The 16,943-nt window shown below is 38.9% G+C and overlaps 1 protein-coding gene across 4 annotated transcripts in view, besides 3 other annotated features; it reads left to right on the forward strand.

Annotated features, from left to right (window-relative positions):
• Positions 1–16,943, forward strand: part of ASB4 (ankyrin repeat and SOCS box containing 4) — an 80,662-nt gene that overhangs the window by 28,530 nt on the left and 35,189 nt on the right. The window lies entirely within an intron of this gene.
• Positions 1,572–1,866: a silencer, noted in NCBI's record as "tiled region #3033; K562 Repressive non-DNase unmatched - State 24:Quies". NCBI's record gives its function as "represses a minimal TATA promoter and a strong SV40 promoter by Sharpr-MPRA in K562 cells {active_cell/tissue: K562}" and the evidence as "EXISTENCE:reporter gene assay evidence [ECO:0000049][PMID:27701403]".
• Positions 2,165–2,214: an enhancer, noted in NCBI's record as "active region_26294". NCBI's record gives its function as "activates an Ori minimal core promoter by ATAC-STARR-seq in GM12878 lymphoblastoid cells {active_cell/tissue: GM12878}" and the evidence as "EXISTENCE:reporter gene assay evidence [ECO:0000049][PMID:35858748]".
• Positions 12,830–12,979: an enhancer, noted in NCBI's record as "active region_26295". NCBI's record gives its function as "activates an Ori minimal core promoter by ATAC-STARR-seq in GM12878 lymphoblastoid cells {active_cell/tissue: GM12878}" and the evidence as "EXISTENCE:reporter gene assay evidence [ECO:0000049][PMID:35858748]".

Here is a 16,943-nt window from a genome sequence, read left to right on the forward strand (position 1 = left end):
AGAGCCCTGGACTAAAGGTATAATTTCAGAATTGTTGGCCTATAGATTGTATTTGAAGTCAAGGAAATCAATGGAATCGCCTGGATAAAGAGTATATATAGAGAAAAGTGAATCTATGAAAAAGCCCCAATGAATTCTAACATTTCAATGTTAGAAGGATGAGGAGAAACCAGTAAAGGAGAGTAAGATATACTGATAAGTAAAATTGGAGAAAACCAAGAGTATTTTGGCAACACAAGGACAAAGAAAGAGGTAGTAGGTTCCAGAAGCAGAGAGTGGCCAGCTATAGTGATAGCTACCCAGGGTTAATTAGATGTTCATTAGATTAGGTGACAGAGTTATCACTGACAAAAATAGTTTTGGTGAAACAGTGTTAAAAGCCAGATTTGAATGGTATAAAGTGCAAATGGGTGGTAAGAAACCAGAGATGCCACAGGTAAACAATTGGTAAAAAGAAGTGAGGCTGCAGAAGTGAACATAAGAAGAGCATGATTGCTGGAGGGGGCTGGAGGGAGGTCACAGGCAAGACTTACCTACAGTTGGAGATCAAAGAAAAAGCTTGTGTGCTAAAGGAAATGATTCATAGAAAGAAAACAGCTGAAGATGCACGAGACAGGATAACTGAAAGTCCTTCAGAAGTTGAGATGAGATTAAATCCAGAGACTACGGGATACATCCTCTTTTTTTTTTTTTTTTTTTTTTTTTTGAGACGGAGTCTCGCTTTGTCGCCTGGGCTGGAGTGCAGTGGTGCGATCTCGGCTCACTGCAAGCTCTGCCTCCCGGGTTCACGCCATTCTCCTGCCTCAGCCTCCCAAGTAGCTGGGAGCATCCTCATTTTTAAGAAGCGGGACAAAGTAAAAGATGGTTTTAAATGCCAGAATATTTATAGATTTGATGGTGCTACGATGAGGGAGTTCGGATGGTTTTTCCCCTCAACAATGTGTCAAAGTCACCAGCCAAAAAATGAGAGGAGAGCAGAAAGCATAGACATTTTCATAAGAATGGAGAAGGAATGGGAGGTTCGGGAGAAAAAAAATGGGAGAAGAAACTTACTAGAGAAATGTAGTAGGATTACTGGACTTATAAAAGATGCCATGTGGCTAGGAGCCGTGGCTTATGCTTGTAATCCCAGAACTTTGGGGAGGCTGAGGCAGGAGGACCTTTTGAGGCCAGGAGTTTGAGATCAGACTGGGCAACATAGTGAGACCACATCTTTACTAAAGGAAAAATAAATTAACCAGGCATGGTGGTGCATCTGTATTCCTAGCTACTCGAAAGGCTGAGGCAGGAGAATTGCTTGAGCTCACGAGTTTGAGGCTGGCTGCTGTGAGCTATTATTGGACCACTGCACACCAGCCTGTGTGACAGAGCAAGATCTGTCTCAAAAAAAAAAAAAAAAAAAAAAAAAAAAGCCATGATCTTTTCAACCTGCGGAAATGAAGGGGAAGAAAAAATTCAGCCCAGCATATTCTCCTTCTTCTTTGGTTCACTTGTTAAAAATGAGGCTGTATCCCATATTCTCTGGATTTCATCTCATCTCAACTTCTGAAAGACTGGAACCTTTCAGTTATCCTGTCTCATACATCTTCAACTGTTATTTCTATGAATCACTTACTTTGGCACACAAGGTTTTCCTCTGATCTCCAACTGTAGATAATAGTGACCTGTGACCTCCCTCCAGCAATTGTGCTCTTCTTCGCTTTTGCAGCCTCCCACTTAGGAAGGAAGCTACAGGGACAAGGTTAGGCATAATTTGGAGCTTACTCACATTTTCTATGTGTAGCCATCACCACTCTTCACATTTACTCATTCATTTATGTTTAGATTTAGTTTTTATCTTTATTGATTTTTAAATTTAATTAGTTTAAACATGCAAGCTTTTTATTTTTAAGAGTTTAAGGAATTTTAGAAATTATATATTAATTTAATCATTAACTTTCTAATTAAAACATTTTTTGTCTCACTTTTCGTAATAATGAAATGAAAATGAAAGCTGCCCACTTTACTCTGCATGAAGCAAATCCTGACAGTAGGAGGAAAATTTGTTACTGCAGGAAAGCCATAAAAATTCAAATGTTTCTTAGCAGAATGTAGCATGGGGGCAATGTAAAGGGGGCCATGCCTTTTAAAAGACTGTTCCCTGCTACTTTATCTGACAGTGACACAAGTCAACCACATGTTAGGAAATTCCCTGGTCAATGAAGTGGAACATGGTAAGGCAAGATGTCACTGGCCTTCATTTTAATCCGAAATAGATAGGCCTGCTGGACAGACGCTGCTCTTACCACCTCACCGCATTCCATCTTTTCATCTTAATCATAAATAAGAACACTTAAGATCTACTTTCAACAAATTTCCAGTAAACAATGCAGTGTTACTAACTATAGTCATCCTGCTATACATTAGATCTTCAGAACTTATTCATCATCCGGTGTAACTGAAACTTTGTTAACTTTTTACATTGTGGCCTTTTCATGTGACTTCATCAACCACAAACTGACAGAGTGGCCAACCTTTCACTCCCTAGAGGTGTCACCTTTCCCAGCCGGTACAGTTATTCCCCATCTCTTTTGTTCTTGTCAACAGAGGGAGACTACCTAGAGATGAGAAGGAAGAAAGAGGTAGGGGGAAGCTTGGGCAATGCTTGTAGGCTGACACTAATGAATTAGGCTTATAAGAATCAAGGAGAGAGAATAGAAGTCCATTAAAGATCCACTTACTCTTTCAAGCCATGTCATCAAAGGCCGAATTCACAAAGAAAATAGAGATAAATTAGAGAAAGCAAAAATGTTCAACTTCAGAAGGGCAAACACCATAAAATTAAAAGGCAATCATAAAACTGGGGAAAATATTTGAGACTATATGACAAAGGGCTTACTATACGCAGAAGTTTTTCAATTAAAGTAATGAGGCTAACAACTAAAAAAAAAAGAGAGAGAAAGAGGTAAAAAAAGAAAAAGAACAAAACGACCAAGAACAGGAATATTTAAGGGAAAAAAAAGAAAAATCATATAAACAGCAAATAAATATATGACATAATGATAGCCTTCATTGGTAATCAGTAACATGTCAATTAAAATGACAATTAGCTATTTTGTTGTTGTTTGTTACGTTAATAAGCATACAAAAGATAATACATATATGACAAACACATAGGGAAGTGCTCTTACACACGCTTAATAGAATGTAAATAGGTACCAGCCTGCGGGGGGGGGGCAAATTGATAACACATATCAAAAGCTTAAAACTTTCTTGTAACTTAGAAAATTCGCCTCTAGGATTAGGGACCAATTCTAGGCAGGAGACCATTTTACCCAGGGCTGTCATTTACTTAGGGCCTCAAATTCAGACTTTAGATGTTATCTCTGAACTAGGTTATACCTAAAGTCAAAGAGATAACTGGGGAGAAAGAAAAAGAAAGACACTGATCATGTAACTTAGAATTGTGCTTGGTCACATGACCTGCAGTACACTAGAAATTAGAGACTTTCTCCTAATTCTGTAAGAGTTTTCAGAATAATGCAGTTAGAGTATATTTTACTTATTTTACCTTATATTTTCATCTTAGAAGTTTTGATTGGTTAAGAAAAACATTTAAAATGTACCACAATTGAAAATATATAGATAGGCACTTTTAATTTTTAAATGTATTTAGAGTCTCAAAAAATTGCTTGATTCCTATTTGCCCTCAGAGAGTCATTTATATTACTGAAAAACTGAAAAATGCTTACATATCTAATAGAAAATTTCATGTTGTTACCGCCATACCATGCAGATATTTAAAATGATGTTTAAAGGAATGTCCATTCACATGGGAAGGTTGTAAAAAGCAGCTTATGGGACAGTATGGACTGTATAGATGTATTTTTCTGAAAATTATATGTGACTATGCATATCAAAATAATATTTAAAATATCAGAGTGAAACTTGATATTATAGCTAATGTTTAACTGTAGCTAAGCAATTTCAAAAAGGCAAATCTGTTATTTTAGATCCTTGCTGCTAGAATAATTTTTTTTAAAGTGTGGCAGCTGGCAGATATATAAATAAGAAAACAAACCTGTGAATCAGATCACTGGGTAAAATTTCAACCCATCTTATGCATGAGGAGAAAGTAAGTGTTTTGCAGGTAGGTCTTCTAACCTGGAAACTAAAAGACTGTGAGCATCTTGTTTTCTTTCCTTTGCATTTTTATGCCTCAGCTTCTTGGACAGCGCTTGGCACATAGAAAGTGCTCAATAAATAGTTACTGAGATTACTGACAGATCTGGGAATGGCTCCAGAAGCCCTGAGTGCATGGATGGGGACCCACTGCCACCTAATAAATGAAAACTGTGTGGTTCATGGTTAATGAAATGCTGCTCTTCATCAGTTTTACCCTCTCAGTCTCTAGAGGTATAGCCAAAGGCTAAATTTTCTCTCTCTTAGATTATGTCACAGATACTCTGGGGGAGAACTCAAATACATCACTTTGTAGCTGGACAGAGGGAATTGAGACAACATATAGACGAGGAAAATACGTCAGGCTAACATTAAGCTCAGGACCACAGAAGTCCGTTAGAGGAAGAACCAATGCCATGGCAACTGAAAACCGATGTAATTTCATTTGCTATTTAATGGGCTCTTTGTGGAAAAGTGCTCTTTGTGGAAAAGGCTAATTGAGGCAAAAAATTGCACCCAATTTTCTCTTAAAGGATTTTCCCCTATTTTTTCAGTGTTGCAGAGCCTGCTTTGTCCCCATGCTGGATTTTGTCTGTTATTTTTCTGTTTGCCTTTCTACTTAATGCCCCCATCTCCTGGCCTTTGTTGCCTTTGGTATTAGTAAAATAATGTTCATCAGTTGAGAAGGCTTATTTACCCTGCTGAAAAACCTCCTCTCCTTGAATCCTGCATTTCCCTATGAATAAAGAGAGTCGGGGCAGGTTTAGGTGGCTGCTAAGCAGCATATTATTTCTACCTATTCCATTCGTAAGAGGAAAATGAAAGCTGCCCGCTTTACTCTGCATGAAGCAAATCCTGACAGTAGGAGGAAAATTTGTTACTGCAGGAAAGCCATAAAAATTCAAATGTTCCTTAGCAGAAAGTGACATGGGGGCAATGTAAAGGGGACCATGCCTTTTAAAAGACTGTTCCCTGCTACTTTATCTGACAGTGACACAAGTCAACCACATGTTAGGAAATTCCCTGGTCAATGAAGTGGAACATGGTAAGGCAAGATGTCACTGGCCTTCATTTTAATCCGAAATAGATATGCCTGCTGGACAGACGCTGCTCTTACCACCTCACCGCGTTCCATCTTTTCATCTTCTGCGTTATACATTGTAATAGCATAAATCTGACCATGTTAGACATTTGCAAACCACCCTGAGGATTTTTGCCACATCTGCTGTATTGTGAGTACCACCTGTGCAATATGAATTTAATGTTGTCATCAAATTGATATTACTTATGAAATTCAATTTTAAAGGAAACTTGATATTACTATAAAAAATTGAAACCCAAAATCCCTTGACATACACTGAGGGTAACAGTAACAGCAAATAAAAGGCAATTAAATTCTTGACCTCCATCTGCTCAGAGACCCTCTGTTCTCAGATGGCAGAAAATGACTCTAAAAGGCCGTGTCTTCTGGTCACTGCTTTTTCCAGAAGACTTGCCTCCAATCATTCTGCTCTGAGTGAGTGAACTTGAAATGAGTTTGCAGTCCCTATCTCACACCTAGTCAGTCAGCAGTTACTCCAGTCCCGTAAAGCATGTTCCACGAAAAATCATACCACACTTCAGGAAACACAACCTTAAGCAGTGCTTTCAAGTTGATAGTCTATTTAGTGGTGAAATTGTAGAAGCATCTCTTTAGAATCACGAATGAAACAACTTTTCTGCTCTCGTCACAGTCTCTTCAGCCCTGTCCTGGAGGTCCTAACTGGCACAAAGAGAAGAGAAAAATACATAATGTACGATGATTGAAAAGAAGGAAGCAAAATGGCCGTTATTTAAAACAGGATGTTTGTCTACATGGAAAATCCAAGAAAATCTACAATTAAATGGTTACAACTAGTAACTGAGTTCAGAAGAGGTAGTGCATTTAAGATCAATATACAAAAATCAATTGCATTTCTGTATACCAGAAATAAGCAGCTAGAAATTGCAATGTAAGAAAAGATATATTTATAATATCACAAGAAATTTAAGGGGCCTAGAAAATATATTTAGCAAAAGAGGTGGAAGAAATATGAAAATTGTTTAAAAGACATTAAGAAGATACCATATTCAAGGTTTATAATGAAAAATGTAGTACTAGATTATTCCTTCTTCAGAGGCAACCACTTTTACTTCCTTGAGCTGATTAGTTTGGTATTTAGCTCCAAATTACTAAATAAATACCATTTATTTATCCATAAAAGTGGAAAAGAATAAGTAGCAATAGAAGCAGCTTTATGAGAATCTATTGATTTATTCTAATGGAAAATGAGGATCTGGCTCCTTTTCCTCTATCCGTGTCCCCCCCCCCCCAAATACTTATTCATTCCCTGTCCCTTATGATGTTATATTATAACTATGAGGCTTGTGGTCAACTATGATAGTTTCTTTTTTTGTGCAATGTTTGTTATCTCTGTAGAAAACTGTCTTATTTCATTCTTTTGCTTAATTTTCTACATACTCATTGCTATTTAACCTCAAAGCTTTTGCCAATATTTTTATTTTATTTTACTTTATTCATTTTTAGAGACAGGGTTTCACTCTGTCACCCAGGCTAGAATGCAGTGGCATGACCATGGTTCACTGCAGGTTTGACTTCCCAGGCTCAAGCAGTCCTCCCACCTCAGCCTCCCAAGTAGCTGAGACTACAGGCACATGGGCCGTGCCTGGCTAATTTTTAAAAAATTATTTTTAGTAGAGACAGGGTCTTGCTATTTTGATGAGGCTAGTCTCCAACTCCTGGCCTCAAGTGATCCTCCTGCCTAGGCCTACAAAGTGCTGGAATTATAGGTGTGAGGCATTGTACCTGGTCAGACAATAGTTTTAATCTTTTCTGAAATATTTAAACTCAGTGGGTATTTTATCAATGTTATTTTCTTGAAAAAGTTCCTTCTGGAGTCTTCAGACCTGCTCCAATGAGTTTCAGGTTGATGTGCATCTGGTGAACCACTGTCATCCTGGGATTCCCATTCCCTATCATCCCAGGGACACCCTTTTCCTCTCTCCTGTTTTCTGGACCACAAGTCTTCCTAAATCTTGGTGTGTTGCCTGTTTGGGTTAGATATGTCCTCTGGTACATTTCTGAGAAAGGGTGCATGAGACCATACATGCACCCCAGTGCATGAATTCTACCCCCGACTTAGAGTAGAATTCTAGATTCATAAACATTTTCTTTTAGCATGGTGAAGGCATTGCCCCATTGCCTTCTAGTTTCCAGTACTGCAGCTGGAAAATTGAAAGCCATTTACATCTTCATTTTTTTATGTGAATTTTTATCTTCCTCTCTGGGGAATTTAGATTCTTTTTTTTTTTTTTTTTTGGTCTTTGATGTTCTAAAATTTCACAATGAACTGTCTTGGTAGGTTTATCTTCATCCTTTGTACTGAGTCCATTCAATTCCAAACTGCTTGTCTATCAGTTCTGAAAAATGTTCCTGAATTATTTCCTGGGTGAGTTCTTTTCTTCTGCTTTCTATATGCTCTCTTTCTTGAATTACTATTATTTGGATATCGAACCTCCCTGGACTGTTTCTCTAATTATCTTGTATTGTCTCGTCTCTCCTATTTTATGTTTTTTATTCTCTACTTGCTGGGAGATCTTTTCTAGGTTGTTTTTCTCTGTTTTTATTGTCTCTGTCAACTATATTAGAGGTTTTCCTCAGATGTCTTATAATCCTTGGCTGTCTGCCTATATTTAAGATCCGAGTCACTAAAAGCTGATTTGGAATCTAATTATCTACGTAGAGGTTTTTTGTTTGTTTGTTTGTTTTTTTGCTGCAGGGTATCTGGCTGCACCTTTCATCTGAGGAATCTCTGACATAGTCTCTTATGAATTTTTTTTTCCTTGAGATTGGTCAGATTCTCCGAAAAAAAATCTAACTGGCTTTTTTTCTAGAGAGTCAAGACCTAAATGCCATTATTCCAGGTGCTAAGTTAGGGGAAAAGGCTGGGGATGCAAATACAGCATATCTGCTATCTAGAATGCTCTGCTCCTCTTCTTTGCCGAGCAAACTTCTACTCCTGTGCGAAGTCTTAGTTCAGACTTCACTTCTGAGGATCAGTCTTCCTTAATTCCTTTAAAATCAATTAGGTCCCAATGCTATGTTCTGTATTCTCATAGCACATTGTAGCTTTCCTCTGTGGCACTTACATTTTATTTGTTGAATTCTTTGATTAGTAACTGCCTCCCTCACTAAACCATAAGTTTCAGGAGACCAGAGACTGTTTTGCTTGGCAGAGCCCAGTGCATAGTACATATTGGGTGTTGATTGTTAAAAATTTATTGAATGTTCAATTGACAACAAGTTCTAGCACTAGGGAAAAGAGTGCAGTTGAACCAGAGCAATTTCATGATCATTACCAGTAAAATCATGCTCAGTTGTACACATTGCTTCTTTCCCATATGAAGAGAGTATGTCAGGAAGGAGGGAGAAGTCAGAAGTGTTAAATACTACGGAGAGATCCAGTAAGTTGAGAGTTAAACAGCTGCTATTGGATTTAGTGACATGGATGGAACTGAAGATTATACCAATGAGTTGAGCGACGGATGCAGAAGTCAGAGTGGGGGGGATTGAGAACTAAAAAGGAGGGTGTCTGAAAGTGTGAACAAGCCTTTTAAGGAGTATTTGTGAAGAGGAGATGAGAAGGTAGATGAAGAGGAAAATGGGTTTGAACTTATTTTTTTTTTAGATTTTAGATGATAGAAACCTGAGCATTTAAAAAACTGATGGAAAAATCCACCAGTAGGGCAGACATTGAAGACAAAGAAGACAGTAGGGATAATTTTTGGTGTGAGGATTCTGAGAAGTTTGGGAAATGAGATCCAGAGCAGGTAAAAGGATTGACTTTGGAGAGGAGAACCTCTGTTCTATCGTAGCCAGAGGCAGAGAAGGAGAGAATGAGAGTTGATGTGTGTGGTGGGAAGGCTTTAAGGAAGCTTCCCTTTGAAGGGCATTTTTTATGTAAAGTAAGAAGTGAAGAGAGTTGAGAGTGAAAAGAGAAGAAGTATAAAAGATCTGAGGAAAAAAGAGGTTTGAAATAATTGTTAGAGAGGAAATATTATATTTTCTATAATTATAGAGAATAATTATTATAGGGAATTATAGAGAACAGGAAAGTAAGTCAAACAGAGAAACACTGGGTTTCCGAGCAGTCTGGAGGGTCCAATTGAGTTTTGATGTTTGCCTTTATGATGCTACTAGTCTTGCACAGGTGGCACAGGTGGTTTTTGTCACACAGCACTCAGCTGCTTGGGTGCAGGCACTGAGACAGCAGATAATTGGGCTCACGCAGGTTTAGGGTCACTCATAATGGCCCCAGATAGATGCTATGAAGAGATGAAGGGAATTTAAAGTTCCAGCAAAAGAGTTATTAAAATGATAAAATATGGAACTAAGCTGGATAGAGAAGGAGAGAAGAAAGGAACATTTAATGGACAAAGAGAACACAGAGAGGGATCTGATGGAGTCCAAGAATTGTTATAGTGGACACTGAACAAGCAAGATGCAAAGACAGAAGATTGTGGGCAGAGAATTGGATATGTGAATCAGTGATTTCTGGAGACAGATAAATTTCAGATAACGACTCAGTCCAGGTATGACTGTGGGTTGGAGTCATCAAGTCAGAGTAGGAGAAAGTCACTGAAGTGAATGAGATTCAGAAACGGGGAGACCAGGAGATTGGGTGGGTCATTCATGTGGTATTAAAGACCCCCAAAATAATGTCAGGAATTTTTGAGGTGAGGAGTAATGTGAGTTAGGTGCTAAAATCTTAAGAAACAGATGGGAAGATAATTATATTCGGGAAGGAGATTAGGTGGTATAGCTGAAAAAGCAAAGCCCTAAAGAAGTAGGGGTGTTCTTTTTATTTATCTTTCCACGAGAATTAGGGAGTAATTGGAAGGAGCAATGGGGAGTCAGATATATGAAAAAGAACACCCAGCTATATACCACAGGCCAGAGTTAAGCATCCCACATCCGTTGTTTGAGCTTGGAACACAGCAAAGCTAGTTTGGTTGCCATGGTGACCAACGCCATGTCTCCGGGCTCATTAATCCTCTATTCCAAACTAAGCACTTAGCAATAGCTTCTGAATAAATGCAACAAAGCTCTGCATACTGAAAAGGGCACATTCATGTTAAGCAGAGGAAAAGGGTTTTCAATTTCATTCATTAAACTTGAGTAAATAATTTAATATCTTTGTGCGTCAGTCCTCCTAGCTAATGAATAAGGATAAATGCTTAATGGAAAATCTAGCTTAATAAAGTTAACAGCATTGGCACTACATATAAAGGAAATTGATGTTGCCGGTATACATGCATATGAAGGGGAAAACTGAAAGGAAAATAATATATATTAAGCATCTATGATGTGGCTATGTCAGGTACTTGAAAATAAAATGTTTCATTTAATCCTTGCAACAACCATGTGAGGTTGCACATTATTCTCCTTATTTAAAAAATGAGGAATCGGAGACTCAGATAAGTTGAATCAGGCCTCAGTACAAAGCTTGTCAGATTCAAGCAGATCAAATTTTATTTGTTTTGGGTCCGTGATGCTCCCACTGTGTCTTGCTGGAAATTGAATAATGCTTATCCTTCTGGGACATTTGGCTAATTAAAAAATTAGGAGAAAAGACTGTGCTAAGGTGACACTTAATATCTAAAAGAGAAGCTTAAATGCTATATCAGAATCCTATTAGCTTAAAAAATTAACTATCCTAAGATTTTTTAAAGGCTTTTCTTAAAAAAAAAATGAGAAGGCAGCTGGGTATATTAGAAGTGTGTTTAATGAAAAGATATGAAAAACTGTCGATGTTTCTTCCGAAATGAGTCCCATCAAGGCAATCGTTTATCCCCATTCTGTCGTTTTCTAACATGAAGAATTGGAGTTGCAAAGCACACTCTCAACACAGAAACTGATCCTTTCCTTTTAAGTATCATGCCTTTATTTTGGTTTCTGGATTTGCTCCAACAAGGGTGTAGATAAGTGATTGAAAAAGATATATTGAAAATCCATTAATTCATTTTCCTTAAAATTAAACTCTTTAATTAAAAACAACACTTTGATCAATTTCTAATTTCTACCTCCAACAATGTAATATAGCAAGGGTTAAAATAATAGAAATAACTAGGCGTATGTTAAATATCCCTGTCACTAAACTTAGATGTTAGCATTTTTCTTTTTTTCTCCAAACACTAATTGTTTTGGTCTCACCTATACGACAATTTTAGGTCAATTTTCTCAAGTTTGGGTTGCTTACTGCAGCCAGGTGATTCCCAAGTGCTTCAGAGGAAAAGTAGTAATCACAGCCTTCTTTCCCACCTGTTAGCATTACAGGTTTCCTTCTCTGACCCACTCTCTTTAAATTCTACAATCAAAAACCATATGTGTCTTCTGTTTTGAGTTTTCAGTCTGGATGTGTTATCTTTGTTTTATAACTGGAAGCATCTGAAACCGGAAATTGAAGGATGAAGTTTCCTTAGGCCTGTACTTCTTTATTTATTTTCTATCAGCACTTTAATTTGTTTCTTACTTAGGGGAGCCTGGAGCTTATTATCCTCTGAACATTTTAAATACCCATTTAGCAAAAGATATCAGACTTACAAACAGAAATGCAAGTGTTTTCTTTGTCATCTCTGTAAGTAATAACTTATGGAACATAATATAAACAATTTTAGAAGGTTTTTCCATTAAGCTAACCAAGAAAACATACAAATAGGGGAAATGATGAAAGCTCAGAATTGGATGCTAAGAATCAAGCACATGCCAGCTTCTTGAAGTTTTTACTAATTAGAAAGCTAATGGGGACAGAATAACGGTGGACCCCTCTCTTTTCCAAGACAAAACATTTTGTTGACAGCCCGCCCCTACCGAGAGCCACCAAGAAGTGAACGCTGCAGGGAAGGCCCAGTTAGGGAGTCCCCTGAAAGCAAATCACTCCAGCCCCCTTTTCTTTGTTTTCTTGCGGCCTCAGAATTCTGGCAGCCCTCAGCAACACTCTTGAATTAAGAGGGCCACACCAACCAAAGACCTGGGTGGTAAGAGTAGGAAGTACGTGCACTTCTCGCAAGCATAGTTGAATTAACCTGGGTGGGGGCAGGAGGAAGAGCCGTGAAGAAAGATCGGCTTGGACTTAATAATTAATAATAACCCTGTAATCACAGCTACTTGGGAGGCTGAGGCAGGAGAATCTCTTGAACCTGGGAGGCCGAGGGTGCGGTGAGCCGAGATTGCGCCATTGCACTCCAGCCTGGGCAACAAGAGCAAAACTCCGTCTCAAAAAAAAAAAATAAATAAATAAAAATAACAACAGCTGGATATGGCATTTATTTTGCATGCTTGGCACTTTGTCTATGCTTTCACTAATCCTCACAACTATCCTATGAGGTTAAGATTTGCAGATTAAAACACTGAGCTTGAGACAAATTGCTTAATAGTGAAATCAGGTTTTGACTGCAGTGACCTCAATACAGAGCTCTCGTTTTGTCCACTAGGTGGTGCTGCCTTCCCTTTGCTACTTTAGAGTCCTGCCGCTAATGTAAATTAGTCTCGGGACTGCCTTGGGTGACTTTGCTGTTTTTGCCTTATTCTGTGGATCTCATCTCCACTGTAGACTGTATATGTCAGTCAGCAAACCTGCCACTCCCTCAGCTTCTTCTATAACTGCCTTGCTCCCAGCCCCTGATGAAGGGGAAGCACAGGTTGCTATCTTCTGTAACACTTGATCCTCCCATGCTGTAGCCTATTAGACCAGGGGTGGTGTTCAACCAAGGGCTGGCCAGGAGGCTCGAACATGGCTTGATATGAAAAGAGGAACTCAAGGACAGTGCTTAAAAGTGAAGGTTCTGGAGTAAGACGGACTCGGTTCAGACCTTGACTATTCCATTCATGAGGGCAAAATTTAACTTCTTTGAATCTTAGCCCTCACCTACCAAATGGGGCTACGGATAATTCAAGTTGATTCTAGGGAACTCCAGCAAGGCTTTATGGATTATGTAAGGCTCTTTTCCCCCATCCCTGGACCTGTGAAAGTATCTTTATGTTGTCTAGAAATGCGTTTCCCAAAGTCCACTGTATTAAGCAATGATGCTGGAGCTGTTAATAGGTGTTTCAAAAAGAGAATTCCTTGGAAAAATAAGTCCTGGAAAATCCATGTTAAACTGGACAGATTTCCTCAATATAAACTTCTCAGAATCTTTCATGTGCTAATGTGAATTGTAAAGATACAAAGGTACATAAAATCTACACATTTATTTAACCACAGAGCTTTTATTTTTAATCCATCTTGCAATACTAATATGCCACAGAGCAGACTTTGGGTAATGCTGGCTTAGAAGAATGAAATTAGGGCCTATAGCTAGAAGGGGAACTCACATTTGGTGCAGCAAGAACTCCATTTAGCCCTGTGTACGTCAGTCTTCTTTCCAGCTTCTCTTCTGAGGGCAGATTCTATCAGTGCGTTAGGAAGAAAAACGACCCTCCAAAGATGTCTAAGTCCTCATCCTTGGGGCCTGTGATTACATGTTACTTGATATGGCAAAAAAAGCACTTTGCAGATGTGATTAAATTAAGAACTTTGAGATGAGGAGATTATCTTGGATTATCCATGTTGGTCATGTCTCTTTAAAATCAGGGACCTTTTTTGGCTATAGTTAGAGGAAATGTGGCTATAGAAGGAAGGTCAGAGAGATAGGATGTATAAGAGATTCTACCCACCATTGTTAGCTTTGAAGATGGAGGAAGGAGGCCATGGTCACGAAATGTGGGAAGCCTCTAGAAGCTGGAAAAGGTAAGGAAATGGACTCTTCTATACATTCTGGTTGACTTCAATCTTAGCCCACTGTCAGGGTTTTTTTTGTTTTTTGTTTGTTTTTTTTTTTTTTTTTTTTTAGAAATCGAGCCAATAGAATGTGTGTGTGTGTGTGTGTGTGTGTGTGTGTGTGTGTGTTCAGAGACAGGGAATGGAATGATTTATTTTAAGGAATTGGCTCATGCAATGTGGAGGTGCAAGTCTGAAATCTGGAGGGAAGGCCAGTAGGCTGGAGACCTAGGGAATAGATACAGTCTGTTGCCAGAGCCCTTCCTTGCTTGTGGGAGGTTAGTCTTCGTTCTATGAAGACTTTCAATGGAGTGGATGAAGCCCACCCACATTAAGGAGAACAATCTGTTTTTAACTCAAAGTTTGCTGATTTACATGTGAATCTCATCTAGAAAAACAACATCACAGAAACATCCAGAATATTGTTTGACCAAATAGCTAAGCAGCATGGCCCAGCCAAGTTGTTACATAAAATTAACCATTACCTCCACTGAGACTTGTGTCAGACTTCTGACCTGCATAACTGTAAATAATCAATTTGTGTTGTTTTCAGCTGCCCAGTTTGTGGTAACTTGTGACAGCAGCAATAAGAAGCTAGGACTCTCACCTACCCACCCTAGGCATCCTAGGCATTACTATCTGCTATAATGTAAGTGATTTCCTTTTGAGGAATTGGTCATCTGTCTGTCAATTCTGGTCCATTTCTCTAATTCTGCCATCATCCACGAAGGATTTCGATGCTGGCATAAATTACCAGTCCAAAATCACCCTCACAACTCCTGGACCTCCACAATTCTAACAATCTGCATTTCACTCCAGGTCAGCTGTGCACTCACATGATCTCATCCTTGGTCCTTTATGGCTCTCCAGTATTTTCGCTTCTTATCTTTCCATCATTCTCTCTCAGTTACACTGCACCAATTCTTTAATGTCTTCATGACTCCAGTTCCTTGCCCCTTTTTGAATACAGGTCTCTCACCCTCTCTTAACGTCATTTCTTTCTCTACTCAGTCTGGGCTTCCTTGTTGATTACTTGAATTTCTGTCTCACCGACACTATAACTTTGCCACAGTACAATCCTTCTAGATTAGCACAGACCATATACACCTCTAATACACCATTCCCTGCCTACTATTAAATCATCTATAAAAATACAGAAAAACTTACCAAAGCCCTTTAGCAATAGCTATGTAAACTAAATATATGAACAAACTATAAACCAAAGAATGGTGAAATTTCTATTAATTACATCATAAAAATGAATGAATTTGGATGTCCCTCTTAAACAAAATGGACAGACAACCCCTCCAAGAGTTAGAGGAAGAGGTTGACTGACATGTTCAGTGTCTGGCTTCAGGGTACACAAATTCTCCCTCCCTTTAAATTCATCATTCTGACAGGCATGCAACCTATCAGGTATTTGAAAAGATAGTCTCAGATGATTAGTCACTACCTGTCTTACCCATTTCTCAGTGATGAAGATGGTACAAAGAAGCGCAACCTGGAGTCCATGAAAATATTCTGGCCCAGCATAGAGGGAGCCTTACCCTGACTACACACGGGAAGATAATTCTGAAATGGCCTTTCTGCAAGAAACAGACAAAAATTGTGAAGTCTTTTGCTTAATTCCATCCAAAGTGTGAAGGGGACTTGGTCTTTATGAGACCTAAGGAGATGATGGACTGAGATAAAGGCAGAAATGCAAAGGGAGCTGGAGAAAAAACTTCCCTCTTCAATTCACCTAAGGGGCTGTTCTAAACCTTTATGTAGCCATAGCTCTAGTTTCACCAGCTGGTGACGTAGACAGTATGACACCTAGGCATCCCTGTGTTTAACAACTGTGGTCCTCCACACACTGTGTTAGCAGGGAATCTTGTTTCTTCAAGGTACTCCTTCCTCATATGAATTCCCAGCAGAGACAACCTCTGTCCAAGCAATTGTTTTTCTTTCTTTCTTTCTCTTTCTCTTTCTTTCTTTCTTTCTTTCTTTCTTTCTTTCTTTCTTTCTTTCTTTCTTTCTTTCTTTCTTTTTCTTTCTTTCTTTCTTTCCTTCTTTCTTTCTTTCTCTTTCTTTCTTTCTTTCTTTCTTTCTTTCTTTCTTTCTTTCTTTCTTTCTTCCTTCCTTCCTTCCTTTCTTTCTTTCTTTCTTTTTCTTTCTTTCTTTTCTTTCTTTCTTTTCTTTTCTTTTTTTTCTTTTCTTTTCTTTTTCCTTTCTCTCTCTCTTTTTTTTTTAAGACAGAGTCTCATTCTGTCGCTAGGTTGGAGTGCAGTGATGTGATCTCTGCTCACTGCAACCTCTGCATCCCGTGTTCAAGTGATTCTCTTGCCTCAGCCTCCAGAGTAGCTGGGATTATAGGCATGTGCCACCAAGCCCAGCTAATTTTTGTGTTTTTCATAGAGACGGGGTTTCCCCATGTTGACCAGGATGGTCTCAATCTCTTGACCTTGTGATCCCCCCGACCTTGGCCTCCCAAAGTGCTGGGACTACAGGCGTGAGCCACTGCGCCCAGCTGCAGTTGCTCTTTCTGTAAGGCACTGGTTGTAGAATAAACCCTGGTATTCCCCCTGGACTAAAGGACTCCTTACTTATTATCAAAGATGCTGGCTGCTCCAGAGATGGGCACCATCACCCTTGCTTTTGCTGCTGTTGCTGCCACTCAAAAAAGTAGGCTCACTGTTGCTTGACAAATTCCTTCTCATACAATTGGCTTCTAATAACCCAAAGCCCCATTGGTACCACTCTCCTTCATGCCATGTTATCTCCCTGTTTCACTCCAGTCCTGCCTCCATGAGCCAGGGCCATTCACCTCTACCCCTAGGGCTGGTCCAGGCCTCCTCTTGCCTTTGAGTCCAGAACAGACAGAATTTTGTCCCTGAGTGGAGGAAGAAGTCCTTATCACTTTATCCAAACTTGTATCTTCTAAAA

This window comes from Homo sapiens, chromosome 7 (genome assembly GCF_000001405.40).
Source record: "Homo sapiens chromosome 7, GRCh38.p14 Primary Assembly".
NCBI lineage: Eukaryota > Metazoa > Chordata > Mammalia > Primates > Hominidae > Homo > Homo sapiens.